This window comes from Homo sapiens, chromosome 12, assembly GCF_000001405.40.
Source record: "Homo sapiens chromosome 12, GRCh38.p14 Primary Assembly".
Taxonomy (NCBI): Eukaryota; Metazoa; Chordata; class Mammalia; order Primates; family Hominidae; genus Homo; species Homo sapiens.
In genome coordinates, this window is record NC_000012.12 from 128,910,539 (window position 1) to 128,935,489 (window position 24,951).

The 24,951-nt window shown below is 44.5% G+C and overlaps 1 protein-coding gene across 12 annotated transcripts in view, besides 1 other annotated feature; it reads left to right on the forward strand.

Annotated features, from left to right (window-relative positions):
• GLT1D1 (glycosyltransferase 1 domain containing 1) overlaps positions 1-24,951 on the forward strand; it is a 131,491-nt gene that overhangs the window by 57,061 nt on the left and 49,479 nt on the right. For 7 of the 12 annotated variants that reach the window (NR_133646.2, XR_001748588.2, NM_001366889.1 and 4 more), the window contains 4 exons: positions 1,886-1,922; positions 4,395-4,451; positions 15,821-15,916; positions 16,567-16,616. The exons of 1 other annotated variant lie outside the window; for it this stretch is intronic. Coding sequence is in view for 8 of the 11 variants with exons in the window: in NM_001366889.1 (NP_001353818.1) it covers positions 1,886-1,922; positions 4,395-4,451; positions 15,821-15,916; positions 16,567-16,616 (240 nt within the window). In the remaining 3 variants the exon portion in view is untranslated. The remainder of the gene's footprint in view (positions 1-1,885; positions 1,923-4,394; positions 4,452-15,820; positions 15,917-16,566; positions 16,617-24,951) is intronic. 4 more of the 12 variants (NR_159493.1, NM_001366888.1, XM_047428373.1 and 1 more) reach the window with 2 other exon arrangements.
• Positions 5,958-6,077: an enhancer, noted in NCBI's record as "active region_7342". NCBI's record gives its function as "activates an Ori minimal core promoter by ATAC-STARR-seq in GM12878 lymphoblastoid cells {active_cell/tissue: GM12878}" and the evidence as "EXISTENCE:reporter gene assay evidence [ECO:0000049][PMID:35858748]".

Sequence of the window (24,951 nt, forward strand, 5' to 3'; positions counted from 1 at the left end):
AGGGTTGTTTTAGGAAGAAACACTCCAAGCCTCCACTACACTCCAGTAACAGCTCTTCCAGCTTTCCAGGGAAATTATAATTCAGCATAAGGAGTAGTTTAGGGCTCTGAACTGCAATTTCTAATTTCAATGGTCGCCTTTAGCCTTTTTTTTTTTTTCATTAAAGTTAATGTCTTTTTTAACTGGTAGAGAAGAGGTCTTTGAAACTCTCTCTTAAAGGTTTACTATTTTAAGGGCATTTGGAATACCACACATACCTGCTTGCACGATGAAGTGGGGAGGAGAGGCAAGACTTCTGGAGGCTTGAGATGCTTCCTGTAGTGAAATACAAAATGCGATGCTAAGGACAAAACCAACACCATACCGAGCCTCGTGTGTACCCACCACCTTCTTTATTTTTTTTATTTTTCAGGCAGAGTCTCACTCTGTCGCTTAGTCTGGAGTGCAGTGGCGCAATGTCGGCTCACTGCAACCTCCGCCTCCCGGGTTCAAGCGATTGTCCTGCCTCAGCCTCCCAAGCAGCTGGGATTACAGGCGCATGCCGCCACACCCGGCTAATTTTTGTATTTTTAGTAGAGACAGGGTTTCACCATGTTGCCCAGACTGGTTTTGACCTCCTGACCTCAAATGATTTGCCTGCCTCGGCCTCCCAAAGTGCTGGGATCATATGGGTGAGCCACCATGCCTGGCCGTGCCACCCACCTTCTGCCTGGATGCTGCCTCTACCAAACCTTCCCAGGCTTGGGGAGGGCCAGTCTCCTTCTTCCTGTTGATTGTCTCGCCCTTGGCAGGGCTACTTCACTTTAGCTTGTGTCCCAAAATATAAAACTGAAGTGGGGACAACGTCCAACGTGGATCAGCATACCCCATGCAGTGCCGAGGGCTCCCTGGTGCCCTAAAGACCACACTGTATCCCTACACCGAGGAAGGACAGGGGTGTGTCTTCTGTGACCTCCAGGGATCTAGCTAGTTCAGTCACTTAATGCATTGATCAGGCTTAGGTCACATGACAAAAAGACATCCATTTTTGGACTCTTTCACCAAAATGACGGCCTGTTTTGATCACTTGAGAGAAACCGTCCTTGGCATGGACTTGCTCCATCACTCTGCTCCTGCCTCCACCTTTCCATCTAAACGTCACCTTAAAAATATTCCTGCCACTGTTTCAAAATGAACTGGAGAAATGGATTCAATTTCTCTCTAGTAGTTTTGTGACATTCCACCAGAAAACATGGCAAGGAATAGTAAGTTGATATCTTGGTACAAATATCCATATCCGTCATGCAAGGGCCGCCTTTTGCTTGGTGCCAGGGAGGTAACTTACCAGACGCTTTCCACCCGGCTGTCCTCCCTTGCCTGGAAGGATCTGCCTCCTGGGGCCTGTCTTTGGTTTCCCAACATATTGGCAGCTCCTCCTTCTCCTCCTGCTCCTTTCTTCTTTTTTTCTGGGGGTGGTGGAAGCAGTCTTCCCCTCAGGGATGCATAAGCCATAACATGCTTCCCCAAACCTCCACCTCCACGCAGGGGCGGGAGCTGCATCAGCTGGGCCGGCACTGGCATGCTCTCTGGCTGAACTTCAGTAATGTCTCCACTAATATAGCAAGTGTAAAATTGCAAAATTGCATTAGGCCTCATTTAAGAGACTTTTTGTGTGTGTGCTTCTTACCTTATAGATGCTGTATTTTTAATGGCAAAACCTATTAAAAAGCAGAAGTAATGCTTTGCTCTTACAGAGTAATAAGTCTATGAGCAGCTGTGTAGATGATTCTCAGTGATGTTTTCCAGGACGGCTTTTTTTGTTAATGACCTTCATTTTATTTCTAAAAAGCAGTTGTCATGCACTGTCCAATGTACTTTTCTTTTCTCTCTCCCCTCCTTTCAAAAGCCGCATGCTAAGGGTAAGGTCTATGTCCAGAGTCAAGGTAAGATTTTTAAAATATTTATTTACTTATGTACAGGGATAGAGAATGAATATATCAAAATAGATGCATATTTATATGTGATAAATATATATATATATTTAAAAGAATAAGTTTGCATCCTTAAGAGACACATATTGAGATGTTTATGAAGGAGATAATATGATTTCTCAGATTTACTTAAAAATAATCAGTGAAATGGCTACTTTTTTTTTTCTTTTTTGAGACAAGGTCTGGCTCTGTCGCCTAGGCTGGAGTGCGGTTGTGCGATCTCGGCTTACTGCAACCTCTGCCTCCTGGGTTAAAGCGTTTCTCTAGCCTCAGCCCCCCCAGTAGCTGGGACTATAGGCAGGCATGAGCCGCCATGCCCAGCTGATTTTTTTTGTATTCCTTGTAGAAATGGGGTTTCGCCATGTTGCCCAGGTTGGTCTTGAACTCCTGGGCTCAAGCAATCTGCCTGAGAATGGCTACATTGTTAAGATTTTTCTAACATTAGAATAAAAGATAAATAGGAGAAATTATAAAATAATGATTTAAAATGCGGATCACTTAACATTTTCTGCCAGTAGAAGTACGATATACTCCATCAGCAGTATGTTTGGAAAAAACAAACCAAACCAAATGCGGAGCTTCTGTTTCAGCTGACTTGAGTTGGGGGAACTGGAACTCTTCTCCCTTCATACTCCTCCTTCCTCCCTGCCCAATTCTGCCCCTATGGTGGCATCTGAGGCCCTTCATCAAACCCTCTGAGGTTTAAACACAGTTTTTTGTTTTTGTTTTGAGATGAAGTCTTGCTCTGTCGCCCAGGCTGGAGTGCAGTGGCGCAATCTTGGTTCACGTCAACCTCCGCCTCCTGGGTTCAAGCAATTCTCCTGCCTCAGCCTCCCGAGTAGCTGGGATTACAGGTGCCCCCCCACCACGCCCAGCTAATTTTTGTGTATTTTGTAGAGACAGGGTTTTACTGTGTTGGCTAGGCTGATCTTGAACTCCTGACCTCAGGTGATCTGTCCGCCTTGGCCTCCCAGATTGCTGGGGTTCCAGGTGTGAGCCACCGTGCCCGGCCTCTCTAAACACAGTTTGTAAACCACTGTACTACATGATAGAAATAATGGAAAGACTAGATCCAAGGAAGAACATGTAATTGGCCCCAAGCTCAGGTTAGAACGAGTGCAGAGGCTGAGGCCAGGCGTTCGGGCCTCCTGAGGACTTCCATGGTGCTCAGGCGCACCTTAGTGAGGCACGGCATCCTGTCATCACCGTGTCCTTGCTGCATTGGCTTCAGTGACATTTTTAGCTGGTGCAGCAGGAAAAACCTGGGCTCTGAGGCAGCGCGTAGGTTTGAACACAGCGTCTACCACCTCCACCCTGCGCATTTTGAAGTGCGTTTAACCTCTTTGAACATCAGTGTCCAGCTGGATAAACTGGAGGAAGCAGTCTGCTCAGTGGGCCTTTAAGGGTTACAGTGGAGTATGGAAAGCGCCTACATGCAGTCGGAGCCCAGGGCTGGCTTGAAATGGGCGCTTGTTAAATAGCCGCTGTCAGTATGATTCAGTGTGAATAACGATTATGCAGGTGGATTTTGGAGGTGGTTAGATGACTTGATTTACTTACATTTTATAAAATTTCAAAATGTTTCTGTTACCAAGATAACGTGTTAGACGTTGCCTCTGAATTTCTAAATTGTAAAATAGTCATTTTTTTTTTCAGCAAAAATTAAATGTAACTTCTCTCTCTGAAGAAGTAATAGCCAACAGACCATCAGGCATGAGTTGGTGAGGGTTGAGAGTGGGAATTTTACAGGGAGGTATAATTTTCACATGGGGCTTAGCTGACAGTGTTTTTGAAACCTGTTACTTCCTGGCATTTTTAAGGAACTCAAGGTTTGTCTAACCCCTAACCCCGTTTGGGCCTGTCATGGATCCTGGGGCTGAAAGGGGTGCGTCTTTTCTCATGTGGAATCCATGGGCTCTTTTTAACCCTCCTGTGCTGAAGGATTCATGGGACTTCAGTGACACACTCAGAGCATCGAGCGGCTTTATAAAAACCAGGTGCTACTGTTATTTAAACTTCAACACAAGTGGGCCGTGTGTGGTGGCTTACACCTGTAATCCCAGCACTTTGGGAGGCTGAGGCGGGAGGATCACTTGAAGTCAGGAGTTCGAGACCAGCCTGGCCAACATGGTGAAACCCTGTCTCTACTAAAAATACAAAAATTAGCCGGGTGTGGCAGCGGGCGCCTATACTCCCAGCTACTCGGGAGGCTGAGGCAGGAGAATCGCTTCAAACCGGGAAGAGGAGGTTGCAGTGAGCAGAGATCGTGGCACTGCACTGCAGCCTGGGTGACAGAGCGAGACTCTGTCTCAAAATAATAAGAATAATAGTAATAATAATAATAAGCCTCAACACAAAATAACTCATTGTATTTCAGCAGTCGCTTCAAAGTGAACTTGCCCTTTTTTTGTTTCTTTGACCCAGGAATTGCAACAACACCAAACGCCGCTTTTAACTGGAATACCTTTCTTCAACGCTCTGGTGAGACATGAGATCTTCTTAGAGGATTTTGATGAAGTGCATCTTGTCAGTTACTTTCAGGAGCTTGTGACGTTCATGCGGTTTTGAAAAAGTGGTTGTCAGAGAGAACAAGGTTCATTTCCCTCTGTCTGCGGCTTCATGAGTAGTTTTATCCTTTTGAGGAACAGCAGGGCTAGAAAGCCAGAGAGACAGGGGCTCTGGCCCTTTCTGATGCTGTTTTTAGCACCTGCTTTCCAAATTTTCAGTATCATTTCCTGTGACATTTGTTCTTTATAAGAATAACAACCTCATGTGTTCATTTTATTTTACTTTACTAATTATACACGTAGTTAAATTACCATTGTAGAAAAATGAGAAAATATCAGAATATGCAACACATTTTTTTTTTTTTTTGAGATGGAGTCTCGTTCTGTTGCCCAGGCTGGAGTGCAGTGGTGTGATCTAGACTCACTGCAGCCTCTACCTCCCGGGTTCAAGTGATTCTCCTGCCTCAGCCTCCTAAGTAGCTGGTACTACATGCATGCGCCACCATGCCTGGCTAATTTTTGTATTTTTAATGGAGACGGGGTTTTGCCGTATTGGCCAGGCTGGTCTCGAACTCCTGATCAGGTGATCCACCCACCTCAGCCTCCCAAAGTGCTGGGAATCCAGGCATGAGCCACTGGGCCTGGCCAAAAAATGCAACAAAAATTTTAATCACTTGAAATTTCATCACCAAAAAGAAACTGCTATTAATGTTTGATGTGATCTTTCTCAACAATTTACATGTAAATAATGATGTTTAAAAGACAAAGTCAAGCTTCACTTACTACTCTAACCTGCCTTCTTTGCTCATTATGTCAGTAGAATAGAGTGAACTCATCCTTTTTTTAAAATAATTCTATAGTTTGTATGCAGTGAAATGCAGAGATCTCAAGTGTAAAATTAGGCAAATGTTTGACAAATGTATATACCCATGTGACAAATACCCCAATCAAGATAGATAACATTTCCACCACTCAAGAAAGTTCTCTCATGCCCTCTTCCATATTTAATTTCTGTCTCTTTATAGGCGATTCCTAGTCTAATTTTTCTTATCTTAGATTAGTTTTACCTGTTCTTGAACTTCATCTAAGTGGAGTCATGCATTGAATAATTTTTTGTATCTGGCTTTCTTTGTTCAACTAATGTGTTTGAGATTTATCCCTATTGTGTGTATCTGTAGACCTTTTTTCTTAGTATTCTATTTTGGAATGGTGTATTTCATTCCATATATCACAAATTGTTTATCTCTTCTTCTATTGATGAACTTTTAGCTTGTTTTCCATTTTTAACCGTTACAAATACATTTACTATGAATATCCTTGTGCAAGGTTTTTTGGTGACCTATGTTTTCACTTCTCTTGGATAAATGCCTCTAAGTCAAATAGCTTGACTATATGATTAACATTATAAAAAATATCCAAACAGTTCTCCAAGGTGTGCCATCTTACACTTCCACAGAAGCTGACAAGAGCTTCAGTTACTCCACATTCTTGCCCACCGGTGGAGTAGACAGTCTTTTCAATTTTAGTTGTTCTAGGGAGATAATGAAATGGTGTCTCATTGTCATTCTTCTAAGTTTCATTTCCCTGATGATTAATTTTGTTCAGCACCTTTTTATGTGCGCGTTGGCCATTCATGTATCTTGTTTCGTGAGTGTCTAGCCAATTGTGTGTGTGTGTCTTCTAATTATTGGTTTGTAGAACTTCCTTATATTCTAGGTACAAGCCTTTTGTCAGATAAATATATTGTTAATATTTTCTCCCATTATCTGGTTTATATTTTTGTTTGCTTAACCATGTCTTTTGAAGAGCAGAAGAGGCTTAAATTTTATTGAAGTCGAGTTTATCAAACTTTTTCTTTGATGGTTAGTGCTTTTGAGTCCTGTCTACAAAATCTTTACCTACCCTAGGGTCACAAAGATGTTTTTCTTTCTTTTTAAAATGTCTTTAGAAGTTTTAGTGCTGTAGCTCTTTCATTTAAGATTATAAATCCATCTGAAATTACTATTTGTGTGTTGTATGAGGTAGGGATCTGTTTTTTTTTCTTAACAATATCCAGATGGTTCCGGCGTCATTTATTGGAAATGTTTTTCTTTGCCCATTGAATTGCTCTGGTGCCTTCGTTGAAAGTCAGTTTACTGTATGTGGCCTTCCATTATCTATGCCTATCTTTATTCCAATATCATGCTGTTTTGTTGGTATAGGGTAATAGTAAGTCTAGAAACCAAGTAGTGTTAGTCAATAACTTTGTTTCAGAATTATTTTAGCTATTCTAGGTTTTTTGCATATCAATTTAAATTTGGGGCTCAACTCATCAATTTCTGTAAAATCCTGTTACATTGAACCTCCACCTCCTGGCTTCAAGCGATTCTCCTGCCTTAGCCTCTCAAGTAGCTGGGATTACAGGCACGCCCCACCACACCTGGCTAATTTTCTGTATTTTTTGGAGAGAGAGGGTTTTCACCATGTTGGCCAGGCTGGTCTTCAACTCCTGAGCTCAAGTAAGCCATCTGCCTCAGCTTCCCAAAGTGCCGGGATTACAGGCATGAGCCACCTCGCCTAGCCTCCTGCTGCAAACTTCTAAGAAGAGACTGAAGATGCAAAATCAATTCTCTGCCCTCAGCAAACAGAAAGACACCCCAAGTCTGTTTTCATGCTAAAGACTTGAAACAAGAAGACATACATGCAGCCAAAAAACATATGAAAAAAGTTCATCATCCACTGATCATTAGAGAAATGCAAATCGAAACCACAATGAGATAACATCGCACATCAGTCAGAATGGCGATTATTAAGAGGCCAAAAAACAACAGATGCTGGCGAGCTTGTGGAGAAATAAGAACGCTTTTACCCTGTTAGTGGGGATGTAAATTAGTTCAACCGTTTTGGAAGACAGTGTGGCAATTCCACAAAGATACTATTTGACCCAGCAATCCCATTACTGGGTATATACCCAAAGGAATATATATCATTCTGTTATAAAGATACATGCACGTGTATGTTCATTGCAGCACTATTCACAATAGCAAAGACATGGAATCAACCCAAATGCCCATCAGTGATAGACTGGATAAAGAAAATGTGGTACATAGACACCGTGGAATACTATGCAGCCATAAAAACGAACAAGATCATGTCCTTTGCAGGAACATGGATGAAGCTGGAAGCCGTTATCCTCAGCAAACTAAGGCAGGAACAGAAAACCAAACACCGCATGTTCTCAACTTATAAGTGGGAGCTGAACAATGAGAACATGTGGACACAGGGAGGGGAATAACACACACTGGGACCTGTCAGGAGAGGGTAGGGCTGGGGGCATCAGGAGAGCATCAGGAAAAATAGCTAATGCATGCTGGGCTTAATACCTAGGTGATGGGTTGATAGATGCAGCAAACCACCATGGCACACGTTTACCTGTGTAACACACCTGCACATCCTGCACACGTATCCTGGAACTTAAAATAAAATAAGATAAAATGAAACAAAAAAGACTTGAAACAAAGCCTCTACCACATACTCTATGTCAGTATTAAGTTCTATTGAAAAGAAAAATTTCCAAGCATTTTATCAGAAATAATTTTCGTAGTGTATTCATCAATCTCAGCCACACTAGCATGGCTGTTCTCAGTATTACAGATGAACCCACACGACCTCAGCTGCTTTGTCATGTCAGTTACATGTACCATTATTCAGAACGAGTGGGCCCATTTTCAATTTCCTGTTGTAAGGTTAGTCTGTCTTCAATCTATCACAGGACGCAATGGCGTTGTAACTAAGATTCATAATTTCCAGTAGGAGAATGATTTGTCATCACATTCCATAGTCTCAGGGTTGACTGTTTCGTTGGTCTTGCTATTGAATGATTAAGGGAACAGCCAGGAGATTTTAAACACTCCTTACAAAGCGTTTTCCTCTGGAGACCTACTTGGCTGCTGCTTAATCTTAATGTGTGCAATTAGAAGTTGTAAATGTATTCAGAATATATGGGCTTAGAGAGACTGGTTGTGGCTCTGATAGCTGACAGTGGCAGATAACGGCTTAAGGGTAGATGTAGGATTAATCTGCGTCTCTGGGTTTTATGATCAGGCATCTGTTCGCATTTGTGCCATCGTTTGTCTTTGTCGTCTCTCAGGCTCTGGGGATGGGCCGTCCTCATCAACCTTACTCTATCTTCCCTTGGCCTCTGGAGCATTGGAAACCTGTGACTGTGATTTGTCCCTCCCACTTGGAGCTTCAGACAGTGAAAACAGAAGGTAGAGTGAAGTTGGTAGACACTATTAGTGATCAGATACCATCTGCCTTCTCACCAACTATTAACCTTGAAATCAGGGGGAGTGGGTGGGAAGGGCTTCATTTAACACTGCATATAAACAGTTGAGTGATTGATTAGTCACCAGGGTGTGTAGTGTGCTTCTTAAATGTCTGATGTCCACGTGGCGATGCATTCTCCTCTTCCGGCATGTCACAGGTTTTCTGACCATACTCAATTCTATCTCTAAGCCCCAGCTAAAGAATGAGTAAGTCTCCTTAATTTAAAACATCAAACCCCTCTTATGCTTACCATTATCTCACATACAAACAGGTCAACTAAGAACAAATAAATAATAAAGCAGGTTAAGTGTAGTAAATGGCATGGTTGTAATTTTTTCACACGATATTGACAATAGCTATTCTGATTGGAAGATAGATGTGTAGACATCAAATTAGTTACCTGGTCTTTGAGTTTTTCTGTGCATTTCTAGATACATTTTAAATGTGATGATTCCATGTTCTATGAATTTTGCCTTTAAATTTCAATAACCAACACATCTAAAGTCATGATTCCTTTCAGGCTATCAAACCTAAAACGTATGAAAGCTTAAATTGACTGGGTAACTCCTTCCTGTTTTTCTGATTTCTGTTTTATTGTATTTCTAGTTTTATTGCTTATTTCTCTCTCTCTCTCTCTCTCTCTCTCTCTCTCTCTCTCTCTCTCTCTCCCCCTCCATCTCTCTCTCTATCTCTCTGTCAACTCTATTTGTATTTCTATAATGGAAACTCAAATTTGCCTAACTCAGATTGTAGCACTTTTCTTCCTCAGGCTAGTCCTAGGAAAACTCACTTGTTTTTTGTATGGAAAACTAGTGTTAGTAGAAGCCTTTATTCTTGCATAGCCCCCAAATCAGCTTTTTCAGCTATAATTTAGTAAGTCTAATGTGTTCGACTGAAGTACTTTTTTTTTGTAATAACAAGTGAAAAATAATGAAGAGTGTGTCCTGGCGCAGTGGCTCACGCCTGTAATCCCAGCACTTCGGGAGGCCGGAGGCCGAGGCAGCGGATCACTTGAGGGTCAGGAGTTCAAGACCAGCTTGACCAACATGGTGAAGTCCTGTCTCTATTAAAAATACAAAAATTAGCCAGGTGTGGTAGTGCATGTCTGTAATCCCAGCTACTTGGGAGGCTGAGACAGGAGAATTGCTTGGACCTGGGAGGCGGAGGTTGCAGTGAGGTGAGATTGCGGCATTGCACTCCAGCCTGGACAACAAGAGTGAAACTTTGTCTCAAAAAAAAGAAAGAAAGAAAAAAGAAAATAATAAAGACAGCTTCTAGAATAGAATACAGGGCATAGAGACTGCCTCAGCGTGGATTGGGTTTCTGTTCCTGAGCCCGCTCATGACTCATACTTGGGAGATTAAGCAATGTGGAGTGTAGCTGTTGGCAGCAATATGCCAGATCGTGAAAACAACACATTTTGTTTTGAAGATAAAAATACCGTTCTCCAGGAAATGGTTCTATCGGAAAGACATTTGTTAAGTGACGAGTTCAAATCTTGACTCATGGATAACCTAGATATTAGAGGAAAAGCAAAGGTAATAAAAATAAGTTTGGCATTAAAAGGAGGAGACAACATTTATTAAAAAAATTAGTCAGGTATGTGCCCTGTCTCTGAGCATCAGCAGGCCAACCTTATTTAATAGTTCTTTGTTAAAAGCTAAGAATTTATACCACCTTAAAGCTGTCAGGGGCTTTAGGGAGCCCGAAGTGTAATTCATCAGAGTTGATGCTTACGTGTGATGAGCCTGAGCCCTTGAACACTTGATCAGGATTTTTCCTCTATAATCTTTATTTTTGGTGAATGATATTTTGGTATGTGGAAAGTGCACATAAGCTACTCAAATCCAAATGCTGTCTCTTTCTTTTAGTTTTTTTTTTTTAACCTAGAGTAAGACAAGTCTATAGCCCTTTATTCTATCATTTTCTAATTTAGTTTCCTATATTCCCATTACACTTAATCTCCAACCCAGGAAGAAGATGAGGGGAGAGGAAAGGAATATAGGATTCACTCCATCTCCCTGCAGCGTCTTGCAGGTCAGGGGTCTCATAATGAATTGAGTAAGTTAGGGACCAGCACTTTTAAACATTGAAGTGAAATCAAATAGAAAACATCGAAGTGGCTTGCATGTAGTCAGCCTAAAGTATGTTTTTAATCATATATAAACTCTATGTCTATGTATGTGTATGTGTGTATTTATATATCTCGTGTGACTGAGTTGCAACATAATATGTTTATCTTACCGTATGTCATAGTCAAAAAACTCTGAAAATCAATATTGTATCTTATGGATTATTCTCTTCTCAGGGCCATCTTTCCAAGGGATCCCAGGACGGGGGTAGTTGGAGGGCCACTTTTTTACAGCCTGTGTGACCAAAATGCCAATGCGTCTTCAGAGCCTCGAGTTCTCAGTAGCTAAGTGTGTCAGAGTAGAGGAACAACATAGGTTTCCAGCACTCATACTTCTCACATAGCAAAAATGAAGAATTAAACAGAGTCTCTTCATCTTGACGTCACCTGCGTTCTTCACACAGTGCTTTCAATACCATCTCTGGATGCCATCTTTGTAGATTGTTTGTTTGTTTGACATTTACTTTTTTTTTTTTTTCCAATTCGGTAATACTGATTCTTGACTTCCCCCTCTTTTTGGTACCTTTGTGATTCTCCTTGTACCTTCCTTCTTTCCCTCTTCCCCCTTCTGTGTATATGAATAGACATTCCATGCACATCAAGAATATGGGGGAAGTGATGTTTCTCCCTTCTCAGTGTGTCACATATGGATGTGTACAGCGTCAGCTTGTCCCAATACTGGAGATCTTTTTCTGACTATGTAAACTCTGTGTGTGTGTGTGTGTGTGTGTGTGTGTGTATACACACCAGCTATGTGTGCTGGGCTAAGGCTTCCTCCCCTAGTTAAACTGGTATTCCCTGGTTTCTCCGTGTACTGTACAGGTATTATATTTCCTTTGTAATTAGTAAGTAATTTTTGAGAGGGTGCTCTTAATCTCTATCCTCATCAAACTTTCACTTGCAAATTTTAGCATTCATTAGTGGCTTTTGCCTAGTAATGTAGGCTTGGACTGTTTCTCCTACCTGACCTCTCAATCTTGAAAAGTTTTCTCCATTTTTAACAATCATTTATTAAAATGAATAGCTTGACTCTTGACCTCATATTCAAATGCCTAACCTCAAATTCTTCTGACCTACAATTCAAATTCTGCATGTAGCGTCTAGCTTAGACTTTTGGTCAAACAAGGACTCACTAAGGTTTGCATTTCTAAAGTTAGCTTCAGGATACTTAGAATATTAAGGAAAGGGCCAGGTGCGGTGGCTCATGCCTGTAATCCCAGCGTTTTGGGAGGATGAAGCCAGTGGATCACCTGAGGTCAGGAGTTTGAGCCCAGCCTGGCCAACATGGTGAAACCTCATCTGTACCAAAAATACCAAAAAGAGCCGGGCATGATGGCCTGTGCCTGTAGTCTCAGCTACTCAGGGAGCTGAGGCAGGAGAATCGCTTGAACCCAAGAGGCAGAGGTTGCAGTGAGCCGAGAACGCACCACTGCACTCCAGCCTGGGCTACAGGCTGAGACTCCATCTCAAAAAAAAAAAAAAAAAAAAAAAAGAGTATTAAGGAAATATTAAAAACTCTACATATTCAATGAAAATTGACAATGCAGATTGTCAGCGGCTTATTCAGAGGCTGTGACAATTTTCCAAGGCTTTTCTAAGAGCGACATCTCGATCTTAACATTTCAGTAAGATTTGCTCCCGTTGGGTATTAATTTTTTGAAGCTTTTGTGATTGCATTAAAGTGGTGTCGCCATAAGTCATTATATTCACACTAGTTGTATTCTTGTTCAAGATTTGGAATAGCATAGAGAAAATGAAAGTGCTTGAATTAAATAATGGACGAATGCCTGTGCTGGGAAAGAAAACCTTGAACCTGCATAATTTTATGGCCAATTATACAGGTTATAAATGCTGAAGTTTTAGGTCGGCTTGTGTAAAATATATTAGCAATTTCTATTGCATGCGTCGTGTACTGAGCTGTAATAAGCCACCGCAGGATGCACCACCTGCTCCCATTTGTTCTGTGGTGGGGGGTTTGGACCTTCTAATGCCTCCAAAGTCTTTGCTAATAAGGCTCAGCTTTTTCCTGTATCTGCAGATGTCTTGGTCTGGATCCCTCACTTTTTTTCTTTTCTTTTTTTTTTTGAGATGGAGTCTCACTCTGTTACCCAGGCTGGGAGTGCAGTGCACCATCTCTGCTTACTGCAACCTCCGCCTCCCGGGTTTAAGCGATTATCCTGCCTCAGCCTCCCCAGTAGCTGGGATTACAAGTGCCTGCTACCACAGCCAGCTAATTTTTGTATTTTTAGTAGAGACGGGATTTCACCACGTTGGTCAGGCTGGTCTCGAACTCCTGACCTCAGGTGATCTGCCCTCCCGCCTCCCACAATGTTGGGATTACAGGCGTGAGCCACTGCGTCTGGCCAGGATCCCTCACTTTAGAGAGCAGATTCACTATAGGAATTTGGACTGTGAAGCAAATGTGTCTAAATTTACGCCTCTTTTTCAGAAACTTTTATTACAAAATTAAACATATTTTCTCATTAAAAAAAAAATGCACCAGCTGAAAGCAGCCACCCCTGCATTTCTCCTGATGCTGGGGTTTGGCCCTGCGAGGGCTGCTTCATGTGTGTCCGCTGGGCTCACTTGGACACTTACAGACGGCCCAACCCTCACTGGGTCCTGCATGAGCTCATAATGTGTCCAGGGCCTCATGCAGCCGGGAGTCTCCAGACTAAAGCCTCATTCTTGGCCTGGAGCACTGGCTCATGCCTGTAATCCTAACACTTTGGGAGGCCAAGGTGGGCGGATCACTTGAGGTCAGGAGTTCGAGACCAGCCTGGCCAACATGGCGAAACCCCATCTCCACTAAAAATACAAAAAGTAGCTCGGGGTGGTGGTGTGTGCCTGTAATCCCAGCTACTTGGGAGGCTGAGGGATGAGAATTGCTTGAACCGGGGAGGTGGAGGTTGCACTGAGCCGAGATCGTGCTGCTGCACTCCAGCATAGTTGACAGAGTGAGACTTGGTCTCAAAAAAAAAAAGAAAAAAAAAGAAAAAGCCTCTTTTATTTATTTATTTATTTTTTTGAGACATCTTGCTCTGTCACCCAGACTAGAGTGCAGTGACCTTGGCTCACTGCAACCTCCGCCTCCCGGGTTCAAGTGATTCTCCTGCCTCAGCCTCCTGAATTGCTGGGATTACAGGCCCCCGCCACCACGCCCAGTTAATTTTTGTATTTTTGGTAGAGATGGGGTTTCACCATCTTGGCCTGGCTGATGTTGAACTCCTGACCTCAAGTGATCCTGGTGAGCCACCATGCCCAGCCAAAAAGCCTCATTCTTAAGAATGAGAACAGAGATCGCGGGGCCAGATTAGAGGGTACCGGTGTGAACGGGGCAGTGGGGAGAGTGGGAAGCACAAAGTCTTCCCCCGCCCAGGCTTGGAAATCACATATGGCCACTGCCACTGACAGCCATTGGAAGTCCCAGGCCAGCCCCGGGTCTTGGGGTACAGTGATCTGTTCCACTTCAGATGGGAAGGGCTGCAAAGACTGTGGCCATCCACCACAAGCAGTCTTAGTGACAGCTTCCAACCTGGGAAACAATGCTGCTTCTTTCTTTTCTTCATAAATAAATTGTTTTTTGTTTTTTTTTTTTACTTTTTCCATATTTATTGAGGTACAATTAATGAAATTATATGTATGTGAGGTGTACAATGTGATGGTTTGGTATCTGTATACATTTTCCTTTATATACCTATGGACATGTGTTTGTTTATCTTTTCTTCAACTTTTATTTTAAGTTCTGGGTACATGTGCAGGATGTGCAGGTTTATTATGTAGGTTAACAATGTGCCATGGTGGTTTGCTACACAGATTATCCAATCACTTAGGTGTTAAGCCCAAGCATCCATTAGCTATTCTTCCTGATGCTCTGCCTCCTGCGACCCCAACCCTCCGACAGGCCCCAGTGTGTCCTTCCCCCATGTGTCCATGTGCTCTCATCATTCAGCTCCCACTGATAAGTGAGAACATTCGGTTTTTAGTTTTCTCTGCCTGCATTAGTTTGCTGAGGATAATGGCTCCCAACTCTATCCATGTCCCTGCAAAGGACATGATCTCGTTCCTTTTTATGGCTGCATAGTATTCCATGGTGTATATGTACCATGTTTTCTTGATCCAGTCTATCATTGATGGGCGTTTGGGTTGATTCCAGGACATGCATTCATTTAGGTGTGTGGATCTCTCTATGCATATATGAGTTCATGAGGACATTAATATATAAACCATTTTTCTAGTTTCATCAAGACATTATTCTTCCTATCTAGAATTGCATCTAAATCTTTTCTAGAACGTCTGGCTCCTATTTCAGTCATAGTTGAGTCAGTTCCCCCGTGCCTCATCCTTTTTCTTTGCAGCAAAAGTTGCATTTTACAGCCTGAGCTCAGCTCCATTTTTTCCCACCAGAAATCATTAGTTTACAGCAAGGAAATTAATATAAAAGTAAGAGTAGGGGCGGGGTGTGGTGGCTCACGCCTGTAATCCCAGCACTTTGGGAGCCCAAGGCGGGCAGATCACCTGAGGTCAGAGTTTGAGACCAACCTGGCCAACATGGTGAAACCCCATGTCTACTAAAAATACAAAAATTAGCCAGGTGTGGTGGTGCATGCCTATAATCCCAGCTACTCAGGAGGCTGAGGCAGGAGAATTGCTTGAACCCAGGAGGAGGAGGTTGCAGTGAGCCGAGCCGAGATTGCACCACTGCACTCAGCCTGGACAACAGAGCAAGACTCTGTCTCAATAATAATAATAATAATAATAATAATAATAATAATAATAATAAGAGTAGGAGAAGCTGGCCTCGAAGTCAGAGGCCTCCACTTCTGAATGCATCTGTGATGTCATTGCTACTGCAGCATCCAGAGCCCTCCCCACTGAAAACATTCTGAACTCTTCTCTTACAGAGATTAACCAAAGTGCTGATAATTTGCACATATTTCTTCTGATATGTGGACTTCGACAAGTTAAGGATCCTCTCTATCTGGTGGACGCATTTTCAGGTGTGTTTGCTGGCTACCTTCCTCCACTGTTTATAGAATTCCTTGTGGGCGCCCATCTCAGCATTTCTCTCTTCAGGGCCCTGAGTTTTCTTTCCTCATTCTTTGCACGTGAGCAGAACTGTTTCTAGATTGCTACTTTGGAAAAGAACAGAAAAATAATGCATGGGATCAGCAGCTCTTTGGAGGAATTTCTGTTTAGTTTTCCACTGTCCTGTGCCCTCAGGTTCTGAGAAAATCATAAAAATAGCAAATAATGATAGGACTAAAATAATTTTACCTGAAAATATTTCACACATGCTGATTTGTGTGATGCATTTGGAGTTTTGGTTATTGTTTAAGGTAATCGATACAGTCTTGGTATATTCCAAAGTCCACATTGAATTGGGGTGATATTGGAGACTAGTCCTAGTTATCCAGTAAATTAGAAATCTGGACAATGGATAATATTGTAGAAATTCACTTAAAATCATAAAATGTCAAATACAGAAATTCTAAATAAATATAATTTAAATTGCCTAATATTATGAATGAAAGCCAAATGATATGAAATAATTTATGTTATTGAGAAATTTATATTGAAGTTAGTTGTGCTTGCAGCTGTGACTTAAACCCATTTGAAGTGTTTTTTTGTCTTCTTTTTTCTTCCCAAGCCTGGCATCAGGAGGAGCCCAATGTGCACCTGGTGATTGTGGGTCCTGAAGTAAGTTGATGTGCAGTAAACACTTATCTCATCTCTGTTTTCCTCTATATACTTTTTATGTATTTTCTACAATCAGTTTACATTGCTCTTCTTTATTTTTTTGAGACGGAGTCTTGCTCTGTCCCCCAGGCTGGAGTGCAGTGGCGTGATCTCGGCTCACTGCAACCTCTACCTCCCGGGTTCAAGCAATTCTCCTGCCTCAGCCTCCCGAATAGCTGGGACTACAGGTGCCCACCACCATGCCTGGCTAACTTTTTGTATTTTTAGTAGAGACAGGGTTTCACCGTGTTAGCCAGGATGGTCTCCATCTCCTGACCTTGTGATCCACACGCCTCGGCCTCCCAAAGTGCTGGGATTACAGGCGTGAGCCACCGCGCCCAGCTTACATTGCTCTTCTAACCAAGTGGAGTTTTCCTCTTTTTAAGTAAATGAAGTCAATTTGCCTCTTAAAAATGAAAACTAGACCAAGGTTAAAGATCATTACAACGGCAATGAATCTTGACGACTAATTTATTGCTACAAAGGATAACTAATAACTTCTACGGAAATACAGAGGAGTCCGGCTGGGCGCACTGGCTCACGCCTGTAATCCTGGCAACTTCGGGAGGCTGAGGCGGGCAGATCACCTGAGGGCAGGAGTCGGAGACCAGCCTGGACAACATGGTGAAACCCCCATCTCTACTAAAAATACAAAATTTAGCTGGGCATCGTGGTGGGTGCCTATAATCCCAGCTACTCAGGAGGCTGAGGCAGGAGAATCGCTTGAACCCGAGAGGTGGAAGCTGCAGTGAGCCAAGGTCGCACCGCTGTACTCCAGCCTGGCCGACAGAGCAAGACTCTGTCTCAAAAAAAAAAAAAAAAAAAAAAAAAACAAAAAAGAATAGAAAAAAAGAAAAGAAATACATAGGAGTCCTATAAAAAGAAAATTAAAGTTATATAAAGTGAAAATTAGTCTAATTTGGTGCATAAGGCAAATATTATGTGTGATCCAAATTGTCTTTGAAATTTCCTTAAATTGCTCAACAAACTTGGCACGGTTCCTTCCACCCAGCATCAGATGGCAGGTGACACCTTTGGGAGCCTTGTTGTGTGGAAAATGAGTATCTGTAAATCCGAGAAACACGCTGGGATGGGAGACGTTCTGGTGGCCGTGACTATGGTGGCCGTGACCGAGGGATGGAGCCCCTGAGAGCCACTTGCAGATGCCGCCTCCCATTCCATGGGGACTCTGGGATATTCACTCGTCCCTCACCAGATCAGGACCAAACACGTGCTGTGTTCCACGCCAGTCCTAATAGAAGTCCCAAGGGCTTAGGATTCATAGAATCTGTGGCTGCACTGGTCATCTCATGAGAATGAGCTCGTCTTTACTCCAAGCGGTTTGGAAAACAGAATACACCTAGTGTTTCCAGCCAGACAGGGTGGACCGCTGCCAGTGACAGCTCCGCGTGTTTGTGGTTTTTTTTTTTCTTTCTTTCTTTTTGAGATGGAGTTTCGCTCCTGTCACCCAGGCTAGAGTACAATGGTGTGATCTCGGCTCACTGCAACCTCTGCCTCCTGGGTTCAAGCGATTCTCCAGCCTCAGTCTTCCTAGCAGCTGGGATTATAGGCGCCTGCCACCACACCTGGCTAATTTTTGTATTTTTAGTAGGGACGGGGGTTTTACCACGTTGGGCAGGCTGGTCTCAAACTCCCGACCTCAGGTGATCCACCTGCCTCGACCTCACAAAGTGCTGGGATTCCAGGCATGAGCCACCGCACCCGGCCTCTTTGTGGGGTTTTTGTTCCAGGGTTGCTGCTATGGCCTGAGTGTGTGCATCCCTCCAGATTCCTATGTTGAAACCTGTTCCCCAGTGTGAGGGTATTAGGAGGTGGGGCCTTTGGGGGTGATTCAGATATGAGGGCAGATTTGTGCCCATTAGGGAGGCCCCGGAGAGCTGCCTCGCCCCTTCCACCAAGCGAGGACCTGGCGAGCATCTGGATGGGAAGCAGGCCTCGCAGACACCCATCTTTCCCGCACCTCAGTGTTGGCTTCCACCCTCTGGAACCATGAGCAGCACATTTCTGTTGTTCGTCAGCCTCTGCTTTATGGTATTTTGCAATAGCAGCTCACATGGACTAAGCTGCCTGGTCTGCAGCGTTAAATAAAGTCTGTGTGGCTGCACTGGTCATCTCATGAGAAAGAGCTTGCACTGACTCCAAGCAGTTTGGAAAACAAAACGCACTTAGCGTTTCCAGCCAGATGGGGTGTACCATTGGCAGTGATGACTCCGTTTCTTCAGGGGTGTTCTGTTTCCGGTCCCTAAAGCAGCAGTGTCCCTGAAAATCTGAGTGAAGCGAACTCTACACAACTGCCAGGCACCTTGTCTGTTTTGTGGTTCTTTCTTATATAGTTTTTTGTAGTTCCCTAGGGACCCCAAAAAAGCATGACATGGGAGTTACAAGCTTTTCTCAGTATTTTCAAAGGCTTTTGGAAATATTTACCTGGAAAGGGCCACAAAAGGTATTAAAAATGTCAAGGGCTAGGCCAGGTGTGGTGGCTCAGGCCTGTAATCCCAGCACTTTGGAATGCCAAGAGGGGCGATCACCTGAGGTCAGGAGTTTGACACCAGCCTGGCCAACAAGGTGAAACCCCGTCTCTACTAAAAGTACAAAAATTAAAAATATAAAAATTAGCCAGGCATGGTGGCCTGCACCTGTAATCCCAGCTCCTCGGGAGGCTGAGGCACGAGAATCACTTGAACCTGGGAAGCGGAGGTTGCAGTGAGCCAAGATTGCGCCACTGCACTCCAGCCTGGGTGACAGAGCAAGATTCTGTTTCAAAACAAACAAACAAATAAAAACATCAAGGGCTAGAATCTGTGTGACCACATTGAATACCATATGGAAGATAAATTACGCTTAAATGTGGCAGTTTGTTAACATACACCCACATATATGCATGCACACACACACCTTAAGTGCTAGCATTGTAGTAGTAACAAGATAATTCCCAGTGTGCTAATTCATGTTAAGTCCCATAGAGGTATGGTTATTATTATTACTTTTTAAAATTATCTTGTCATTTTTCTGTTTGAAGAACATTGAAAGAAAAACTTCTAGTTTGATGCTAAAATTCTGGCTAATCAAGAGAGAAGGCCTCAGACTGGGAGCCATGAGCAGGCAACAACAGTATCTAGAAGGCATTTAATAATGTGGTTTTCTTTTTCATTGTTTTCATTCTGATGATCACATCTCAGGTACAGTGCTTGATACCAGCTTTCCAATTATGAAAATTGCCTTTCAAAATAAATTGACTTCACAAAAAGTATAAGCAGTGGTGCAGATGGCATGCAGATATGAAAAACGGTGCAAGTGCATGCGACTAGCCAAAGTTTGGGAAAGAGTTCTGTACAGCATTAGCGTGTGGGATGGAAGAAATACTTAAAAAGAACCCCTGCTGGAGATGATCATCCACAAACACTGAACTGACGATCATCTGGTCGCAATGTCTGGCTTTTTCTGGATCAGGAAGCTGGTACGGGGGGCAAACGCAGGGGCACACAGATAGCACTAGGTATGTGACAGAGCCCTCTTCCAGAGAAGTAAAGACTCTGGGCGCGTGTAAGCTGATTGCAGAGGCGGGAGAAGAGAGAGCTGCTAGAACAAAGGACGCTGCCTGGATTGATCTGTCCTCTTTAACTCAGCTGCCTGCCGGTGAGGGAGCAGGTGCCATTTGTTTCTTAATGGCTTCTTAAGTAATAGTCTTTTAGGAGAGACGACCGTTGTTGCTGCTGTTGTTTTCATATGAAGCAATCAGAAATGTTTTTCACCTCCCGGAGGAAATACGTCTCTTCTACCACCCTTTTTTTTTTTTTTTTAAAATGAGACGGAGTCTTGCTCTGCCGCCCAGGCTGGAGCGCAATGGCGTGATCTTGGCTCACAGCAACCTCCGCCTCATGGGTTCAAGCAATTCTCCTGCCTCAGACTCCTTAGTAGCCGGGACTACAGGCACGTGCTACCACGCCTGGCTAATTTTTTGTATTTTTAGTAGAGACGGGCTTTCGCCATGTTGGCCAGGATGGTCTCAATCTCCTGACCTCGTGATCTGCCTGCCTCGGCCTCCCAAAATCCTGGGATTACAGGCTTGAGCCACTGCACCTGGCCACTTTTTAATTTTTTTTTTTTTTTTGATATGGAGTCTCACTCTGCCACCCAGGCTGGAGTGCAGTGGTGCGATCTCGGCTCACTGCAACCTCCGCCTCCTGGGTTCAAGCGACTCTCCTGTCTCAGCCTCCCGAGTAGCTGGGATTACAAGCGCCTACCACTACGTCCGGCAAATTTTGTATTTTTAGTAGAGACGGGGGTTTCACCATGTTGGCCAGGCTGGTCTCGAACTCCTGACCTCCGGTGATCCGCCTGCCTCGGCCTCCCAAAGTGCTGGGATTACAGGTGTAAGCCACCGCGCCTGGCCCCCCTTTTACTACTTCTCTATGGAACACGGCACCTCCCCTCTAACTTTCGTTTGCCTGCTTCTGAAAGCACAGTGAGTGTAAAAAGTGTTTGTCTTCCCTCCTAAAGTGTCTGTTAGGAATCTTGTCCCTGCAGGGCCGGGAGCTGACTCTGCAGGAGAAGCCACAAGTCCAGAGGCCTCCTCTTTTTATTTGAAGGGGTGAATGTGTGTGGTTTTTTAATTAAAAATAATGTCAGTGAAATGCCTTTAGTTTTAAGTGCTGGGAACTAAACACTGTGTTCATGTGAGGATATGTGCACACACACGCACGCACACACACACACACACACACACAACGTTGGCCTTGTATGTCCTACAAAATGCATCTCTGTATTTTCTTTGCTTTCCTAATTCTGGAAGGAGGTCATCGCGAAATGGGTTTGAGCAAGGATCGCCATGGCTTTGCCTGTTGAGGAGTTGACTAGGACTTGACATTGCAGGATTAGGGAACAGTCGGGGGCGTGGGGCTGCATGAAGGTGCTGCCGGCTCCTGGCCGCGATGGAAAGCCCCGTCTGGGGAAGCTTTAGCTCCTCCTTGATTTCCAGAGATCCCCCCTCTCCATTTCCAAGCTAGTCCAACACATCTGTAACATACCTGATGACAACATACGTGGTAGGCAAGTACGGGTCCCAGATGAGTCCCCTAGAGCTCACACCCCAACTGGATCGCCGTCCCTGAAACCCCCATGTCCCCGTCTGGAGCTGCACGTCCAGCCCAGCACGTTAGTTGGCTTGGGTGGAGCAGAGAACACAAAGTAATGAGAGGAAAGGGTAGCTGGGAGAGGCGGCCCTGCAGCAGAGTGTCCGGGACCCTGGTGGGAAGGACTGTGGTCTGAGAGTTTTTTAAATTCGTCGCCATCAATTATTAAGAATTCTAAAGCACCTCTTTCACGAGGCACTTTGCTGTCTATAATTAAAGCAGCCCTAGGCAATGGAAAAGTGCACCCTTTGGTTATGGATTTGTTGTTTCAGCAAACAGGTCATGAGCGCCAGGTCTGTGCCTGTTGACACGCAGCCCCGAGCTGTCCTGGGATTTGCTGAAACCGCGGCTCCCACATCCAATCGCGGTTTGCAGCGAGGCCGCCGGTCTTCAGCCTCGGGGGGCCTTTAGCAGAGGCGAAGGCTCTGGGCACGACCCTGGTTTAAGATCCGGCTCTGGGCACGACCCTGGTTTAAGATCCCTGCCTCGTCGAAGGTCCTCCATATCTAAGGGAAAAGCAATAGCCACCGCCACAAAACCTTGACGCCATCTCAGTGGATGAAATAATTTGAGTTTCTACGTTTCTAAGGTCTCGCGGAGTCTAAGAAATTACAAGCCCCTTCCAACAACTTATTTATTCTGGACTCCCCCGGTCCCACTGAAGCCTCACAGCGTGGGGGGCCTCTGGGCAGGTGTTTCAGTGCCTCGTGCTGCAGATAGGCTGGTGTCTTCGCTTGTTGTTTGTTTTTTAACCGTAAGCAGGAAACCACTCCTCTCCGGGAGAGAGAGCTTTTTAGGACGTGGGGAAGCCCTGTTTCCTAAAAGCCCTGTTTATCAGTGTCCATGTGTCAATGCTTTACCAAGGCCAGTTTCTAGTTCCTCAGCCGACGTCACTGAACACAGGGTGCGGAAGCGATGCGGGTAGACGCAGGCGGCGCCCGTGCGCAGGCGGAGCCGAGTCCCGCGCATTTCACACGGGAAGCCGCCATAGGCGCACACGCATGCGCACGTCAGAAACAAGCTCTATTGAACAATACGCTTTCTTTTACTTCATGCAGTTCATGCATTCTGATTTTTTAAAAACTGTCCCGGGCTGCCCTTTGGGATGATATGCTGTTCTATTCTACGTCATTTTGAGAAATGCTTGTTTTTTATTTTACCCCAAAATTGATTTTATAATTTGCTACTTAGGGTGTAGTTTGAAAAGCTGTGACTTGGGTGACCCCGGATGGAGGGTCTGTGTGTGGGTCCGTGGGTGTGTTGGACTCTGGTTAGGGCCAGTGCACTTACTGCTTCCTTGGGGTGAAATTCTCTCTCTGCAGACCTCAGTCTGGCTCAGATGCCACCCTCTCAGACACCCTTCCCCTGACCACCCAACTGAAACTCCCTCTCTTCCATCATCATTATAACATTTCCAAACATCGACTGCTTTTCAGAGTCAAGTATTCAATTTAATTACACTTCTGAATACAGAACTAGGAGGGGACTAAGGCGATTTCATGCTTGAAGTTGACTATTTCCTGCAGTGTGACTAGGGCACGTGCTGAAGATTGGGAGATGGATCTGAGAAGTGGGCGAGAGGTCAAGTCTTGGGACACATTAAAATTCTTATTGGAAAGACTATGGCATACAACAGATTTAACACCCTGAATCTCACCACTATTCGTGACATCCGACGGGAGTGCACTCTGCTTCAGCCCATGTCTTTCTCTGTTAACTGCAAAGCTCAATGAATGAACACACCCTTTAGGTATCAGCTAGACACTTTGGAGGGCTGGAGCTTTTCTAGGTCACGTTCAGTGCCTCTTAGTACAAAACCACATTGACTTACTGTGTCTTCAAAGAGACAGTCTTTTTTTTTTTTTTTTTTTTTTTTAGATGGAGTGTTGCTCTGTTGCCCAGGCTGGATTGAAGTGGCACGATCTCGGCTCACTGCAACCTCCACCCCCTGGGTTCAAACGATTCTCCTTCCAAGTAGCTGGGATTATAGGCACGTGCCACCACACCTGGCTAATATTTGTATTTTTAGTAGAGACGGGGTTTTGCCATGTTGGCCAGGCTGGTCTCGAACTCCTGACTTCAGGTGATCCACCCGCCTCGGCCTCCCAAAGTGTTAGGATTACAGGCGTGAGCCACTGCGCCCGGCCAGCTCAGTCTATTTTTAGGAGGCAATGGCAGTGCATCTATGCAGTGTTTCCCTCTTGTCCATTTCTCTCCTTGAAGCCCTAGTTCGCAGGAGGTCCCAATGAAGAAACCACACCAGCTCAGTCCTGAGCCTCCACCCCAGGCATCAGAAACCACCTCTGGCCCAACGCCAGCCAAAAGTTATTGATTAGAAGAAGACAAGGTCTCACTAAGAGAATTCCTGGGCAGGCTGGCGAGCCAGCTTGGATTTAGGCAGAACCAAGACATTCCAGAGGCCAGGATGTCGCGTCAAGAAGCCCTTCATTCAAGGCTTCACACCTGAGAAAATGAGCCCCACCCATGCCTCAGTCTCTGTCATTCTCTTCAAGGACGGGGTCCAGGACAGGGTCCTGGAAGTCTCTGTCATTCTCTTCAAGGATGGGGTCCAGGTCAGGGTCCTGGAAGTCTCTGTCATTCTCTTCAAGGACGGGGTCCAGGACAGGGTCCTGGAAGTCTCTGTCATTCTCTTCAAGGACGGGGTCCAGGAAGAGGGCACTGAATTGTCCCCGCCTGGGTCATAGCCCACCCTTTTGTGAGCCTGGAACAGGACAGGCTGGAAATGCTTCAGCAGAAGCAAGTACAGGCGGGGTGCGGGCTGTGTGGACTTTTGCACTGGCCATTTCTGGGCGCAGCCAGGAGGCAGTTGATATTCAAAGCAGTTTTCTTTGAATATCATCTCTCTGCTTTTTAATTTGCATTTTCTACTCTACCAGAGCTTTATGAAATAGTAGAGTAGCCGGGCGCGGTGGCTCACGTCTGTAATCCTTTTGGGAGGCTGAGGTGGGCGGATCGCTTGAGGTCAGGTGTTCGAGACCAGGCTGGCCAACATGGTGAAAACCCATCTCTACTAAAATCACAAAATTCACTGGGTGTGGTGGCACATGCCTGTAATCCCAGCTACTCAGGAGGCTGAGGCAAGGAAATCGCTTGAACCCGGGAGGCAGAGGTTGCAGTGAGCC